Raw genomic sequence first — 16,087 nt, forward strand, 5'->3', positions numbered from 1 at the left:
GATTACAGGCGTGAGCCACTGCGCCCAGCCCCTTCAATATCATTTTGAGGTACCTGCTATGTGCAATCAAAAATAGAATGTCCAAAATGTAATAAATTATGCAAATAACCAATAAAACTACATCTTCAGTTAGATCTGCCTTCCAAGGCACCTAACGTTCATTGAATACCATGTGCCAGCTGTGGCGCTAAGGGCTTTACGTGTATTCTCTACTGTTTGTGTCTGTGCTTTCCTAGGAACCATGATGATTCACATTTTATAGACGAAAAAACTGGAACTGGAAGTGGAACTTAGATCTAAATCCAGAGACTGAGCTTATAACCACCGCGCCACACTGCCTTTCTTATCCCCTGTATTAGTCAGGCTTCTCTAGAGGCACAGGGCGAATAGGATAGCTGTATATATGAAAGGGAGTTTATTAAGGAGCATTGACTCACATGATCACCAGGTGAAGTCCCACAAAAAGCCGTCTGCAAGCTGAGGAACAAGGACGCCCGTCTGAGTCCCAAAACCTCAAAAGTAGGGAGGCCAGAAGTGCAGCCTTCAGCCTGTGGCTGAAGGCCCGAGAGCCCCTGGCAAACCACTGCTAAGTCCAAGAGTCCAAAAGCTGAAGAACTTGGGAGTCCAATGTTCAAGGGCAGAAAGCACCCAGCACGGGAGAAAGATGAAGGATGGAAAACTCAACCAGTCTAGTCTTTCTGCGTCCCTCTGTCTGCTTTTATTCTAGCTGTGCTGGCAGCTGATTAGATGGTGCCCACCCAGATTGAGGATGGGTCGGCCTCTCCCAGCCCACTGACTCAAATGTTAATCTCGTTTGGCAACCCCCTCACAGACACACCCAGGAACAATACTTTGCATCCTTCAATCCAATCAAGTTGACACTCAGTATGAACCATCACATCCCTCAAATGAACACATAAATAAATGATAAGAAATAACGGCTTACAATCAACAAAACGCTGTGTGTGATAGTAGTAACATTGACATACTGTATCTAGCAGCTAGCCTGGAGAAACTGATAACTTCCTCCTGTTTTAAACAGAAATGTGGGGTTTGTTGTGTATTTCTATGATGTGTTTTGTTTTTTGAGACAGAGTCTTGCTCTGTCACCCAGGCTGGAGTGAAGTGGCATGGTCTCAGCTCACTGCAATCTCTGCCTCCTGGGTTCAAGCCATTCTCCTGCCTCAGCCTCCTGAGTAGCTGGGATTACAGGTGCACACCACCACACCCAGCTAATTTTTGTATTTTTAGTAGAGACGGGGTTTCACCATGTTGGCCAGCCTGGTCTCGAACTCCTGACCTTGTGATCCGCCCGCCTTAGCCTCCCAAAGTGCTGGGATTACAGGTGTGAGCCACTGCACCCAGCTAATGTGTTTTTTAAAAATATATAATATACATATATACTTATTGCATATTCACTCTAGGGCAAAGACTTTACATTTATTCTATTATTCAATCCTCACAAGATGCTTAAATTTATAGATGTTTACCAGTCCATTTTCCAGGAGGATAAATGGAGGATGAGCAAGGTTTCATAACTAGTGCCGGGTCACAGAGCTAGCAAATGGATGCTCAAATTTTCTCTCTTGACTCGGAAACCCATGGTCTTCCAACTGTACTTCCAACCACACTGTGCTGGAAAAATGGAAATTGTTAGGAAATGGATACAGCTGGTTTTTTTCTTTCGCTCCTTTTGAGGAGCTCCTTTTTAAAATAAATCAATTACATATTAAATTATGTTACCTCTGCTGAGCTAGGAAGCAAAGTCCAAGCACCTTCTATGTTTTTGTTTGTTTGTTTGTTTTACAGTATTGATTTAAGATTTCCTTCATGATTCTTTATATAACAGACCTGCCGTTTATGAGTGATATGTTCTGAGACCTTCATTCATTTCTACCTAGTATTACCATAGGGTATATGTCCACTCCTAAAATGGAATTAAATACAACTTACTGTTGTATTTTTTCTGTTCACAGTGAGGCATAATGAACAACAAAGCTTATTAATCACCTTGGTTCCTTCATAAACAACATGACCTACCTCAGCCCCATGCCCCATGTGACACAAAGCTTAGCTTAGGAAAATTTCTCCATGTCCGGAATTCCCAATAACTCCATTAATTCTAAAAGTCTGCTCTGAGTGTCTCAGTTTATGACATAAATATGATTAATGATACACAACATGCTGAAGAGGAATTAAGACAAAATAACATTAGTTCCTTGGGTGACACTGCCAAGAAATCTCAGAAGCAAAACTGCTGATGGAATGTTCACAGTGAAGCTGGCTTTCTCTGTGTACTACCTCAGTGGTAGTTTTAATAATTTTTTAGTAATTAAGGAAATATATATTTAATATGTGGCATCTTAGAGAAGCATGACTAATGTTTAAAATAGTGAGATGTGGCTGGGCACGGTGGCTCATGCCTGTTATTCCAGCACTTGGGAGGTCGAGGCAGGAGGATCACTTGAGCTCAGAAGTTTGATACCATCCTGGGCAACATAGCAAGATCTCATCTCTACTAAAAATAAAAAAGAAAATTAGTTGGGCGTGGTGGCACTCGCCTTTAGTGCCAGTTATTCAGGAGGCTGAGGTGGGAGGATTCCTTGAGCCTGGGAGATGGTGGCTGCAATAAACTATGATTGCACTACTGCGCTTCAGCCTAGGCAACAGAGCAAGACTCTGTCTCAATAAAATTAAATGAAATACACAAGTGAAATTGTGAGATGTAAATGAAAACAATGAAAGGTTTTTTTGGACTTTCCTTACATGTGATTCCCGTCTCTTTAAAGCATGAGACCCAATATTTTTCTGGGCGTCAGTGAAGGTTCTGCTCAGTATAAGAAATGGTACTATGAATTGATGGTGGACCACACAGAGCCCTTTGTGACAGCTGAAGCAACTCACCTGCGAGTGGGCTGGGCTTCCACTGAAGGATATTCTCCCTACCCTGGAGGGGGCGAAGAGTGGGGTGGAAATGGTGTTGGAGATGATCTCTTCTCCTATGGATTTGATGGCCTTCATCTCTGGTCAGGTACGTACTATCCATTTTCTTTCACCGTGTTCCAGAAGATCTTTTGCTGGGCATTTCTGAAAGCTATTGGTGCTGCTTCCATTAGGTACTTCTATAGGGTATTAATTATTCAGAAATTTAGCATTGAGATGATGAGTAAGAGTGTTGAGGAACAAGCAGTATTTCACTAGGGGAAAAAGAAAATACTTAAAATTATAGTACATTTCCAAGGGACTGCCGAGCTTGTGAACAATGCTGTGTATTTAAAGAGTAGATTTAAATAAGAGTGTATTGCTTAGGAACAATACTGTGTATTTAAAGAGTGCATTCCGAAGCATGAATGAACTGCAAGAAACTTGTGAGTTTTCTGCTTTAATTGGTATGTTTAAAGCTTTAGTTGCCAACATAAAAGAACAAAAAACAAATCTTGGAAAATAATGGGAAGAAATAGACTAAGTTCAGCCTTCTGTTAGATAATGTAATGGTGGGAAATCAATAATTTGTAAAGTGTGGTATGAGGACTCAGATCATAACAAATGACACTTTGTTTCAGAAGTATAAAATGGTTTAAAAATAAAGGAATAGGTCATTTCACCAGCTACCAACTCTTAGCTTTGATGGTTGAGTATATATTAAAAATGAATACTTTATATTAAAAAATAATATTCTTTTCTCTGATTCATGAAGAAGTAGAGTTTGGTTAGCTCCATTTAAAAGCTTAGCTCTTGATTATGTAGATTTTTTAGATGTTAAAATTCATCTGGATTCTGCAGACATAAGCTTATATTAATAAAGCTGCATTTGGAATATAGTCCTGGTATGATCTTGGCATAGTTTATAAATTATTTAGCATATGGAAGATGCAGAAAGTTACCTTAAGTTATAAAGCTGAACTTTGCCTCATGTGGAGTACAAATGATAGACATTTATGAATGCTTTATGGGCCTAAAACTTATGAAAAATAAGAAATAAGTTGAACTACACCTAAGATTTTATGCTAATGAGTTTATATCTAAAAGCATTCCATGTAGTTGTATCTAACAATGATACTTACTGAATTCTTTCTTCATTGAGTGCCAATAGCTCAGTTGTCTAGACGAGAGGAAGCTGTATTTTGATTTTTTGTGAATTTTTAATTTTTTTTTTTCGAGACAGAGTCTTGCTCTGTTGCCCAGGCTGGAGTGCAGTGGTGCAATCTTGGCTCATTGCAGCCTCTGCCTCCCGGGTTCAAGCGATTCTCATGCCTCAGCCTCCTGAGTAGCTGAGACTAACAGGCTTGCACCACCATGCCCGGCTAATTTTTATATATATTTTAGTAGAGTCGGGGTTTCACCATGCTGGCCAGGCTCATCTTGAATTCCTGGTCTCAAGTGATCTGCCTGCCTCCGCTTCCCAAAGTGCTGGGATTACAAGTGTGAGCCACCGTACCCAGCCTCAATTTTTAATTTTTGTGAGTACATAAAAGGTATATATATATTTATGGGGTTGAAGCTGTGTTTTGCATATTTCATCTAACCTCTGAGGAATGTGGTTGGAGTCCTCACAGTACTGTAGACTGCTTTGTACAAAGGCGACCTGTGCCAGCCAGACCATAGTCACAGTGCCTTGTTCCCACAGGAAAATTGTCCTGCTGACCAAGCAGAGAGAAAGAGCCCTAACTTCAGAAGACCTATTAAACACAAAATAGGGCTAAAGTCCATGTTATAAAACATTTGAACTATAATCCTTTAGATACTATTACCCCCTCTCTCCCTAGCTCCTAGTATTGCTCTGCAGGAAATAAGTACTCAAATGAATAAATGAAGCACGTGGACTTGTTTTCCCATTACACAGAGATTAGATGAAAAAAAAAAAACATTGATCGACAATGCCAAGTTGCTTTCATTTAGTCTCTCCATACAATAACATATTTTACTATTTTTGTTTTGTATTCAATTTGAAGCTTTTTCTTTCGATACATTAAAAGTACCTGGTTCTTATGGAATTGAATTGTATGCGTTATACCTTTTATTACAAAGTATCTGTTCAGTAGAACAATAAGAACAACAAAAAAAAATTTAGTGAATCTGTGGACATGTACCAGAAAGGACGATAGGCAGTGGAATTTCAGGAGAAAAGCATCTTGAAATTTTATTCATTTTTTTTAAATGGCAAGAAAATACGTATCATATCAGGCCTACAGTTGAAAAGTATTTTCTCTTAAGCCACTGGGAGTCTATTAAATGCTTTGCTGATTTTAGATTCGTAATTAATGAAGACAAATCTAAATTAGTTGGAATGTGAGTTATGAAGCTCGAATTCATAGTAACAGATAACCTTCTTGGGGGTCGTTCTCCTGTTTTCTTCTTAATGGTTGATGTACAATTTGAAGTATCAAATATCAGTGATTTCCAGGATAGAGCACCTTCTCTGCCACTTAACATTTTGTAATTGGAGAGTGGCAGTATTTCTCGGAACAAGGATTGGGCTCATAAGCAAAAGTTTTTAGCTATGTCTTCATTTCTTCTCTTCAATTTAAACTTTGCGGTGTTGCTACACTTCCTCTCTGTCAATGCAGAACTGGATTTTGGGAATCCAGGTCCCAGGTGTTTGAGAGGACCAAAAGTATAAAAAAATCTTGGTGCTTTGAGAGAATTTAAATATAGAAGTAGTGTGGAGGAATGTACAGGAAAGATGGGTACAGGTTTCTAATAGAGGGTCTATAAAGCTATCGTATCCCTCCAAGTGAAAAATATATTTGATTATAATAGATATCGTGTAAATAACATCGCTATTAGCTACAGATCATGGTACAAACAAGAAACTAGACCTTTTTCTGCATTGCTTTTATATGACTTTTTTAAAAAGCTGCCTTTATTATATTCAGGGAATTCTAGAAGAGACACTTGATAGTGAATTTATTGCCTGTGGATTTGAATATTGGTAAAATAGAAAGTGTCCACATTAAAAAAAAAATAGGTATTCTCTACTACTGGCATTTCAGATATGTCCTTGGTAGAGATATTGGCATGCTAGAAATAAAAAGAATTATTAAAAATACAAAGCATGTATCACAAAGTCTATTTTTGTCTTTGCTCAAGTTGAAGGTTTTGTTTATGTTTATGAGCATGTGTGTTTGGGAGAACCTTACCTTCTTTTCTTTCATTGTGCAGTGAGAAGCAGATGCTCTCGGGACGAATTAGCAAAGGAGTTCTTCGAATCAGGAATGGGCTTAGACCATAGGTTGGTCTTGCCGGGGCAATAAATAACATTTATCCAATATCATTTTCACACCTCCAGTTATATCCTGCTTTACTTAAGAAGCCAACCAAGATCTTGTGTGAAATAAATGAAAAACTATAGGCCAATTGGCCTATAGTTGTCTCACAATAAGCAACGTGCTGCAGGAATGAATGATCATATTTTCTGCTTTCGTTATCTTTATGTATTTTTATTTTAAATTGATAGAATGAAGGGAGTTTAGCATTTGAAAAAGGGACTGACATGAAGTACCTGCTGTGCCTGAGACTCTGTTACTTGTAAAACATTAATCGTCAAAATAACTAAACAAGGTGATGGTACTTGGTGTTCTGTTTATAAGACATCCAAATTAAGAGAGGTTAAGTAATTTGGTTATGGTCTTACAAGTAGTAGATGGTAAGGTAGCTATTTGAAGTCCCTGGAGATGTTCCTTTGACATCATTATATAATCTGCTCATAGATAATTTCTGGATCAGTTGCCATCCGTCTACATGCAGAAGTTTCTGTGTATCAGAAGGTCCATTTTACAACATAAGTAGCAGCCTGACTCCTGAAATAATCTTTTTATTTTTTTGACAAAGAGTTTAACATGTAACATGCGTTTACATTCAAGATTTATTCCTTCTGATGTTGTGCATTGGTTTGTCACTACTTATTCAAATCTTTTGACTTTGGCTCTGAAGCTGATTCTCTGAGATAAAAAAATACATGACCTTCCTTAATGTTTTCCCCCCAATAGGTTGTATTGCTCGTACTGTAAGCTCACCAAACCAACATCTGTTAAGAACTGATGATGTCATCAGTTGCTGTTTAGATCTGAGTGCCCCAAGCATCTCGTTCCGAATTAATGGACAACCTGTTCAAGGAATGTTTGAGAATTTCAACATCGATGGCCTCTTCTTTCCAGTCGTTAGTTTCTCTGCAGGAATAAAGTTAGTATGTCTATGTTTTTTGGTCTCTTTCCTTTCTCATTTCTCATACCTCCACAGAAGACTCTGCACTGCCATTGCCCTTCTTCTCTAACCATTGTTTGTCTCTCCTGGGCACCTGTCCTCTGCGCATTTTGCCTGTGCCTTGAAGGAGGAGGTAAGCCTCACCTAAGATGGGCATCCTGCAAGGCTGAATGCTTTGTTTACGGATCCCACAGTGTTTAGATGTGGGCAGTCTCCCTCAAACCAGGGTCCTGAACTATTTCAAGGTGTTTTTTTTTTTTTTTTTAGTTCATTTATTTAGATGAAATGAGCAAGGCTGTTTTAAAAAATACTGCTTATTTTCTTATATTTTCATTCATTTTCCTTTTTTAAGACATAGTTCCTCACCCCATTGCACACCCTCTTATTTCAATAGAAATTAAATATCCTTTTTGTTGATGAGGCCCAGATGGCTTTCTTCAGTGTTCCTCTCCACCTTTATTCTCTTTATTCCTTTATTCTCTGCCCATGGTCAATGGTGCCAAGATGGTTTCCTCACACTCTTTCCTTTTTTGCTATTACCAGAGGGAAACAAATTAAAGTGATAATCCATTGTAGTTCTGCAAATGAAACTTTAATAAATGATGGTCTGTTATAATAAGTAACTACTCTGTCACTTATTTTTATACACACACACACCTGTACACTTAGAAGGACTCCATTTGTTTCAGTTATTCTTTTAGTTATAATTCTCCCAGGAATAATTCCTAGTTACAAAAGCATCATATTGAAGAAGAAACAGAGTAATCATGAATATTAGCTATCCACGTACCAGTTACTTTTTCTGATGTATTTATACAAATTATGTTTCTATAAGCTTCTGGAATGTTTTAACATTTTTATTTTTCCTCACTTTTCTTTGCTTTTCTTTATTTTTTTGGACTGGACCTGATACACAAATTAGAAAAAGAATTATGGACAGGTGCAGTAGTTTGCACCTGTAATCCCAGCACTTTGGGAGGCCGAGGTGGAAGGATTGCTTAAGGTCAGGAGTTTGTGACCAGCCTGGTCAACACAGTGAGACCCTATCTCTGCAAAAGTTTTGTTTTGTTTTGTTTTGTTTCTTTAGTTAGCACCTAGTTTTGTATGCCTGTAGTCTTAGCTACCCGGGAGGCTGAGTTGGGAGGATCACTTGAACCCAGGAGCTGGAGGCTGTAGTAACCTGTGACTGTGTCACTGCACCCCTGCCTGAACAACAGAGTGAGACCTTGACACACACAAAAAAAGAATTACGAGGAAAATGAAAAATTTAAATTTATTTTTGTAAACCCGAGGGCCCCAGGAAATATATATCATTTAACTGTTTCAAAAAGTGTTTTTCAATGGAACTCAGATTAAAATAGTTTTGCTTAAATGAGCAGAATGTATAAAAGATTTTAGTAAGTTCTTTTTCGTTGTTGAGATTGATAAACAATTAGCGATAAGGTTACCTGCTTTCTTCAAGTTGAAGTGACATCAGAATCTCCTTTAAAGCAGCAGTCCCCAACCTTTTTGGCCTTAGGCACCGCTTTTGTGGAAGACAATTTTTCTACGGGCCAGGGCTGGGGTTGAAGGTGGGGATGGTTTCAGGATGAAACTGTTCCAGCTCAGATCATCAGGCCTTAGTTCGATTCTCATAGGGAATGAGCAACCCAGATCCCTCACAGACACAGTTCACAATAGGGTTCGCACTCCTATGAAAATCTAAGGCCACTGCTGATCTCACAGGGGGCAGAGCTCAGGCGGTAATGCTCTCTTGCCCACACAGCTCACCTCCTCCCTTGTGCAGCCTGGTTCCTAACAGGCCGCGGACTGGTACCTGTCGTGGCCTGGGGGTTGGGGCCCCTGCTTCAGAGAATTTCATTAGGAAATTGGACATTGAAAAGTGACCAAGAAAGTGAAAAAAGAATCTAAAAAAAAAAAAAGAAAAGAAAAGTGACTGGTTTTTCCCCTCATTCCTTGTTAAATCCTGTAATTTTAAGCATATAGATATTTAGATCAGGTCTTTTCTTTATCTTTCGGTACTTTGGGACTTTAAGTGACCAGTTATTACGGACATGCACTTCATTCCCGTAAGAATGTGGTGCATGTGCTTTTGGTTACTTCTCCAGCAGGTGATGTCTTCACTGACCCATTAATTAACTTAAGCAGGTTTTCTCTTTTGATGAATATGATGTCCTCATGTTTTACCTTTTACAATTAGAGGCCCTTGAATTCTAAGGTGATCACATTATGATGGTACGTAGGGGAAAATGTGGCTTCTGATAAAATACTTTTGTACTAACAATTTTTCCCTAAGATTTTGTGAATTAGAAAACTTTAATGTACACCAGAGATAAAATTGACTCTAACGTGCATCCTCTTTAGAGTACGCTTTCTGCTTGGAGGGCGACATGGAGAATTCAAATTTCTTCCTCCACCTGGGTATGCTCCTTGTTATGAAGCTGTTCTGCCAAAAGAAAAGTTGAAAGTGGAACACAGCCGAGAGTACAAGCAAGAAAGAACTTACACACGCGACCTGCTGGGCCCCACAGTTTCCCTGACGCAAGCTGCCTTCACACCCATCCCTGTGGATACCAGCCAGGTACCAAGATCCACTCGAATGGCAATCACTGGTATTGCAGTCATGCTGATACACAGTGGCTTTACACTTGGACCACAACCCATAGGAACGAATTTCACAGTAATACAGTTGTACAGTTGACATGTAGGACTGAAATGAGTCTCATAAAATAACACTTACCTTTACCATGTCCACTCACTCATTTTCTATTCTATTCTATGTTTTTGTTGTCGTTGTTGTTGTGATGGAGTCGTGCTCTGTTGTCCAGGCTGGAGTGCAGTGGTGCAATCTCGGCTCGCTGCAACCTCTGCCTCCTGGGTTCAAGCGATTCTCCTGTCTCAGCCTCCCAAGTAGCTGGGATTACAGGCGCCCACCACCACACCTGGCTAATTTTTGTATTTTTAGTAGAGATGGGGTTTCATCACGTTGGCCAGGCTGGTCTTGAACTCCTGATCTCAGGTGATCCACCCGCTTTGGCCTCCCAAAGTGTTGGGATTATAGGCATTAGCCACTGTGCCTGGCCTCTATTCTATGTTTTAAGTAGTTTTCCCAACCCAATAAACTGATTCCCTAATGTACGAACAGATTACAACCTGAGGTGTTAAAAACACTGTTCAAGGTTGTCTTTAAAGTTTTATTAAAATAATTAATATTACTTAGTTTATAAAGTGCATATTATACTTTTCATGCACGTCTGTGTGAAGAGACTACTAAACAGGCTTTGTGTGAGCAATAAAGCTTTTAATCACCTGGGTGCAGGCGGGCTGAGTCCGAAAAGAGAGTCAGCAAAGGGTGGTGGATTATCATTAGCTCTTATAGGTTTTGGGATAGGCAGTGAAGTTAAGAGCAATATTTTGCGGGCAGGGGTGGATCTCACAAAGTACATTCTCAAGGGTGGGGAGAATTACAAAGAACCTTCTTAAGGGTGGGGGAGATTACAAAGTACATTGATCAGTTCGGGTGGGGCAGAAACAAATCACAATGGTGGAATGTCATCAGTTAAGGCTATTTTTACTTCTTTTGTGGATCTTCAGTTACTTCAGGCCATCTGGATGTATACATGCAAGTCACAGGGGATGCGAAGGCTTGGCTTGGGCTCAGAGGCCTGACAATACTTTTAAAAATAGGCAATAATAGCAACAGGTGGAACTTAGTGACAAAAATCGTGCAAGAAATTTTAAGGTATAATAGTGTTAAGATGATTTAATATCTGGGGTAATGTACTGCACTTGAAGTAATATCATACAGATGTGACACACACCGATCTTAGAGTGTAGTTCTTAAGCCCCCAACCTTTTTGGCACTAGGTACCGGTTTCCTGGAAGACAATTTTTCCACGAGCCGGTGGGCTGGGGTTGAAGGTGGGGATGGCTTTGGGATGAAACTGTTCTCTCTCACATCATCAGGCATTAGTTAGAGTCTCATAAGGAGTGCGCAGTTCACAATAGGGTTCACACTCCTATGAGACTCTAAGGAGAATATAGAGAAAGATGAGGATGCCGTATAGGAAACATGGAGTTTTCAATTTCTTCTCATTTCCTTCTTCGATACGCTTATTTGGAAGATATTTAGCTGACTTTTATCTTGGGTATAGATTAAGATCATGAACTCTAGAGTCAAAGTGCCTGGCATCAAGTACTCTTCCCTTAGGGGAGCTGCTCACCTTCTTTACTGGGATGCTTAGAGTATGTTTGTCATAGTTAATAGATACCATATTACTTGGCAAATAGTCACCCAACAAATGTTAGCTGTTGTTCCTCTTTTTCTGTTTCATAGATGTAATGGTGTTCTGAGGTTGGCTATGAATTCAATATCGACTTATATTGATGGTGAAGTAGCTTCAGTGAGGTTGTTTAGATATTCAAAGTTTGTTTCTTAGTTTTTAAAGATCAAAGACATTGCTTCCAAAGTCTGAACTTGAATTAATACCATGCCTCCAAAGCTTCAGTTGCTTAGCAATCAGATTTTTAGCTCCTCAAATCGTATTTCTTGTTCCCCCTTTTTATATCATGTTGTTAAAATAAACATGCAAACATTGTTCATGGCCAAAATTCAGTTTGCATTGCCCATTGCTAAAAGGTGGGAGGATATGTATAGTGCAACCTAAGTTTATAGGAAAAAAGATTTGGGAGACTAGAAATGAACAACTAGATGACATCATGGTAGAAACTTAAGGATTACCTGAGACCCAGATAACCTCTATCAGGGAAAGGAAACAGTTATCACCTGCTTCTCTTGGGAATGCCACCTCGTCGTTGGGCATTGTGGTCATTTGCCCACTCTATGTGTTGCGAGACTAGCTGTGGGGTCACACAGAAGTGCTTAATCAAGACGTAAACAACCAGTCCCTTACCTTGGGTTTTTTATGAACATTCAATTTCTTCCTTTTAATGGGAACATATAAAGATTTTGTTTCTTTTCTGTGAAGCTTATATTTAGAAACCACTAACAGTAACAGAGTAGAGTGTAGGGGAAGATATCAATCACTAGTCAGACATTTATACGCTCAAAGATCCGATGGACTATAATGTGGGCACTGAATTGCCTTTACTCTGGCTAATGAATGCTGGCCCAGTTGGTGTAAGAGCTTGGGGATGATTTCTCATTTTAAATTATACATTCCTTGGTAGTAGCCCCATATCCATTAAACATCTTTTGGTTGTCCCCACCAACACTCCTTTTTTTTTTTTTCTGGTGGCTCATAAATTGATTTGGAAACCTAAGTTGTCAAAAAAAAAAGGTACCAAAATTTATTTAAAGAATATCATGAAGGCTGGGCGCAGTGGCTCACGCCTGTAATCCCAGCACTTTGGGAGGCCGAGGCGGGCGGATCACGAGGTCAGGAGATCGAAACCATCCTGGCTAACACGGTGAAACCCCGTCTCTACTAAAAATACAAAAAAATTAGCCGGGCGTAGTGGTGGGCACCTGCATTCCCAGCTACTCGGGAGGCTGAGGCAGGAGAATGGTGTGAACCCGAGAGGCGGAGCTTGCAGTGAGCAGAGATCGCGCCACTGCACTCCAGCCTGGGCGACAGAGTGAGACTCCGTCTCAAGGGGAAAAAAAAAAAAAAAGAATGTCGTGAAATAGATGGCTTAGAACTTTGTTCTATGATTACTGGTTTATGAGGCAGTTTTATTTAGTTCAATTTGCAGTGAAGACTGTTGGCACTGCATCTTATTGCATTTGTTTCTGATGTGTCTTTTTTCTTTTTGTAAATTTTAGATCGTGTTGCCTCCTCATCTAGAAAGAATAAGAGAAAAACTGGCAGAGAATATCCATGAACTCTGGGTTATGAATAAAATTGAGCTTGGCTGGCAGTATGGTCCGGTATGTAATTTTGAAATTTATTTTCAGATTCTGTGAATACATCTTTCTGAAAACATAACTTTTTCTGCCTTTTCCCGCTATGGGGTGACATCAATCAGTTAGTTGGATTGATTTTTTTCCCCCTACACATTAGTTTTTGTGCAGTTTTGCCTTACTACGTTATTGTAGTTAATGGGGCTGACAGGCATTATTGGCAGGTTCACTGAAGGATGGTCTAGCTGCCTAGACAATGGAAAGTTATCAGTGTCTGGGCTGAAAGTTATATTTTCAAATCAAGGTTAACATATACAGATAATAGGCATTGATTTTTAAGCCACTTAAAAGATCTCAGTGAAATTGAAAGTGAAAACTGAAAATGAAAAGAAGGCAATTTACTTTTCTCTCGCTCATGTTTCTTTTCTTTCAGTTCCAATTGTGTGTAAAAGCGGAAACCTGTGGGCAAGTGTTCCTAGTTGGTTTCACAGGTAGAATGAAGACTGAGAAACCATGATTGCACATGCTTCTAAATGATACTTTGCTAAAGAGCTTAGTTTACAACTTAATACAATTTAGATTTAAAACAAACAACTACCTGTGTAATCCTAGTGTATATCATATACTTGTTTGTGTCAAAACCATGGTAATACTTTCATTTGTATGATATATTCTAAGTGTCCCAAAGGCCATAACACTTTCTTATACCTGACTGAATATGGAAATTAATGTATTTACCCTTCATAGTTTATTGCATTGAGCTCTGAATAAAGAATACTTAATATAACGTTAGTAGTAGTATCATGTGATACTCCACACTACTCAGTAATATTTATATATTTATTCAGTGTTTTGCATTCTTGCATACAGATTATTAGGTCAAATTGTCATTACAGTGAACTGGGTTGTGTTGTTATTTCAGTTGTACTGGTGATGACCTAGCGGAGAGTTCTTGCAGTTGCTAAATGCCTTGGCAGGCATCACATAGCTAGTGAGTAGCAGCTCCAAGACTGGAATCAAGGTTTTCTAAGACAGAATTTAGAAAGTGACTGCAAGTCACTGTAAGGCTTGCTGAAGCATGACCAGAAAATGGGATGCTTTTATTAACTAAATGATAGTTAGACATTTGTTACACCAACAAACACTTGGGTACCTAGTTTTGTGCTACGTTCATCAATTTTTTTTATTTTTTTGCTATAGAGTTTCGCTCTTGTTACCCAGCCTGGAGTGCAGTGGTGTGATCTTGGCTCACTGCAACCTCCACCTACCCGGTTTAAGCGATTCTCCTGCTTCAGCCTCCCAAGTAGCTGGTTTTACAGGCATGCACCACCACACGTGGCTAATTTTGTATTTTTAGTAGAGACCAGTTTCACCATGTGGCCAGGCTGGTCTCGAACTCCTGACCTCAGGTGATCTGCCCACCTCAGCCTCCCAAAGTGCTGGGATTACAGGCTGGATTACAGGCATGCCCGGCCTCATCAATTCTTAAAATTGAAGGACATGTATAAATGCTAAATAAAAGACTGGACCATCTATTAGTCAGTAGGAAGAGAGATGCTACAAATGTGTAAGTAATCAATTGCCAGAGGAATTACAGGCAACATTCTCCAGAAGTTTCAAAAATAGGAAGAGATGATTAGAGGCCAGGAAGATTTTTTAAAAAGTTCCCATTAAAAAAAAAAAAACAAACAAAATGTAAAACAAACAGCAAAACCCCATATTATAATAGCAAATATTTCAACGGGCTTCTAAGATGATCTCCACTGCAAACTCCTAGTAAGTTCACCTAAGTGGTTATGTTTTGCAGTGGAACCTTAGGTGTGTTTCTTCTTTAAGAACTGACTAAAATATAAAGTCTCACTATTATTGATTCTTCCAGTTACATTTAGTTCTGGTTGATACCATACATCACATTCCTGCCATGTTCAAGACACTCTTCGGGTTTTCTTTTTTTTTTTTTTTTTTTTTTTTTTGAGACGGAGTCTTGCTCTGTCGCCCAGGCTGGAGTGCAGTGGCGGGATCTCGGCTCACTGCAAGCTCCGCCTCCCGGGTTCACGCCATTCTCCTGCCTCAGCCTCCCGAGTAGCTGGGACTACAGGCGCCCGCTACCACGCCCGGCTAATTTTTTGTATTTTTAGTAGAGACGGGGTTTCACCGTGTTAGCCAGGATGGTTTCGATCTCCTGACCTCGTGATCCGCCCGCCTCGGCCTCCCAAAGTGCTGGGATTACAGGCGTGAGCCACCGCGCCCGGCCAGGGTTTTCAAATATTAAAGGATAATACAGTACCGTGGGGCCTTCTTGCCCGCAACTGACTCAAGTTATCCTTTGCTGGGTCTGAGGCCAGTTGAGGCAACACTGGGCTTGATGTACCTCTGGGGGAAACACTGAGCCCTTGGTCTGCTGCTGTTGTGTTAGCACCCGCACCTTTCCTGGTGCAGGAGGTGTTCTCTCATCTAATGTATGATTTGCAGTCTGCTTCTTTTCCAAGACCTTCCCTGAAACTCCTTTTTGTGTAGTAGTTAGAATCCTTGACCTTGTGATGTCAATTATTCTAGATTAAGATATGTGCCTGTTACTATGCTAATTTCATAAATTCATTAACATTTTAAATGAGGTTTTGAAGTATTCAAGTATATTTTTCTTTGGAGCAATTTATACTTAGCTACCCAGCATGCTGGATTTTTTGAAGAAGAGGAAGTTATCGTTACTTTGGGATATATTTCCCAGGAGTATGGTGCAAGGGCCCTATTTTGTGGAATAACAAGGCAGATCTGTCTATCATTTATTCGTCCCTTTAACATTTATTGTATGTCTACTATTTGCCTGGTGTGTTTAGTACTGGGGACCCAATTTTGAAAAGGCCTTGACTTTTAAGGTATTATGTTTGCCTTCTTGGCGCTTCCTCTTTAGTTGAATGATTGGTAGGCAAACAATTACAGAGTAAAGAAGTAATATTTAGCTCTTCCCAGGGAAATCAGGGAAGGCTTCCAGGAGGAGGTAAATATTTGATCCAAGACTGA

General features: G+C 39.6%; 1 protein-coding gene across 18 annotated transcripts in view; it reads left to right on the forward strand.

The window, feature by feature from the left end:
* RYR2 (ryanodine receptor 2) overlaps positions 1–16,087 on the forward strand; it is a 791,805-nt gene that overhangs the window by 451,538 nt on the left and 324,180 nt on the right. For all 18 annotated transcript variants that reach the window (XR_007062490.1, XR_002957299.2, XM_006711802.4 and 15 more), the window contains 4 exons: positions 2,790–3,031; positions 6,990–7,182; positions 9,568–9,784; positions 12,989–13,093. Coding sequence is in view for 16 of the 18 variants with exons in the window: in XM_006711802.4 (XP_006711865.1) it covers positions 2,790–3,031; positions 6,990–7,182; positions 9,568–9,784; positions 12,989–13,093 (757 nt within the window). In the remaining 2 variants the exon portion in view is untranslated. The remainder of the gene's footprint in view (positions 1–2,789; positions 3,032–6,989; positions 7,183–9,567; positions 9,785–12,988; positions 13,094–16,087) is intronic.

This window comes from Homo sapiens, chromosome 1 (genome assembly GCF_000001405.40).
Source record: "Homo sapiens chromosome 1, GRCh38.p14 Primary Assembly".
In the NCBI taxonomy this organism is placed as follows: Eukaryota; Metazoa; Chordata; class Mammalia; order Primates; family Hominidae; genus Homo; species Homo sapiens.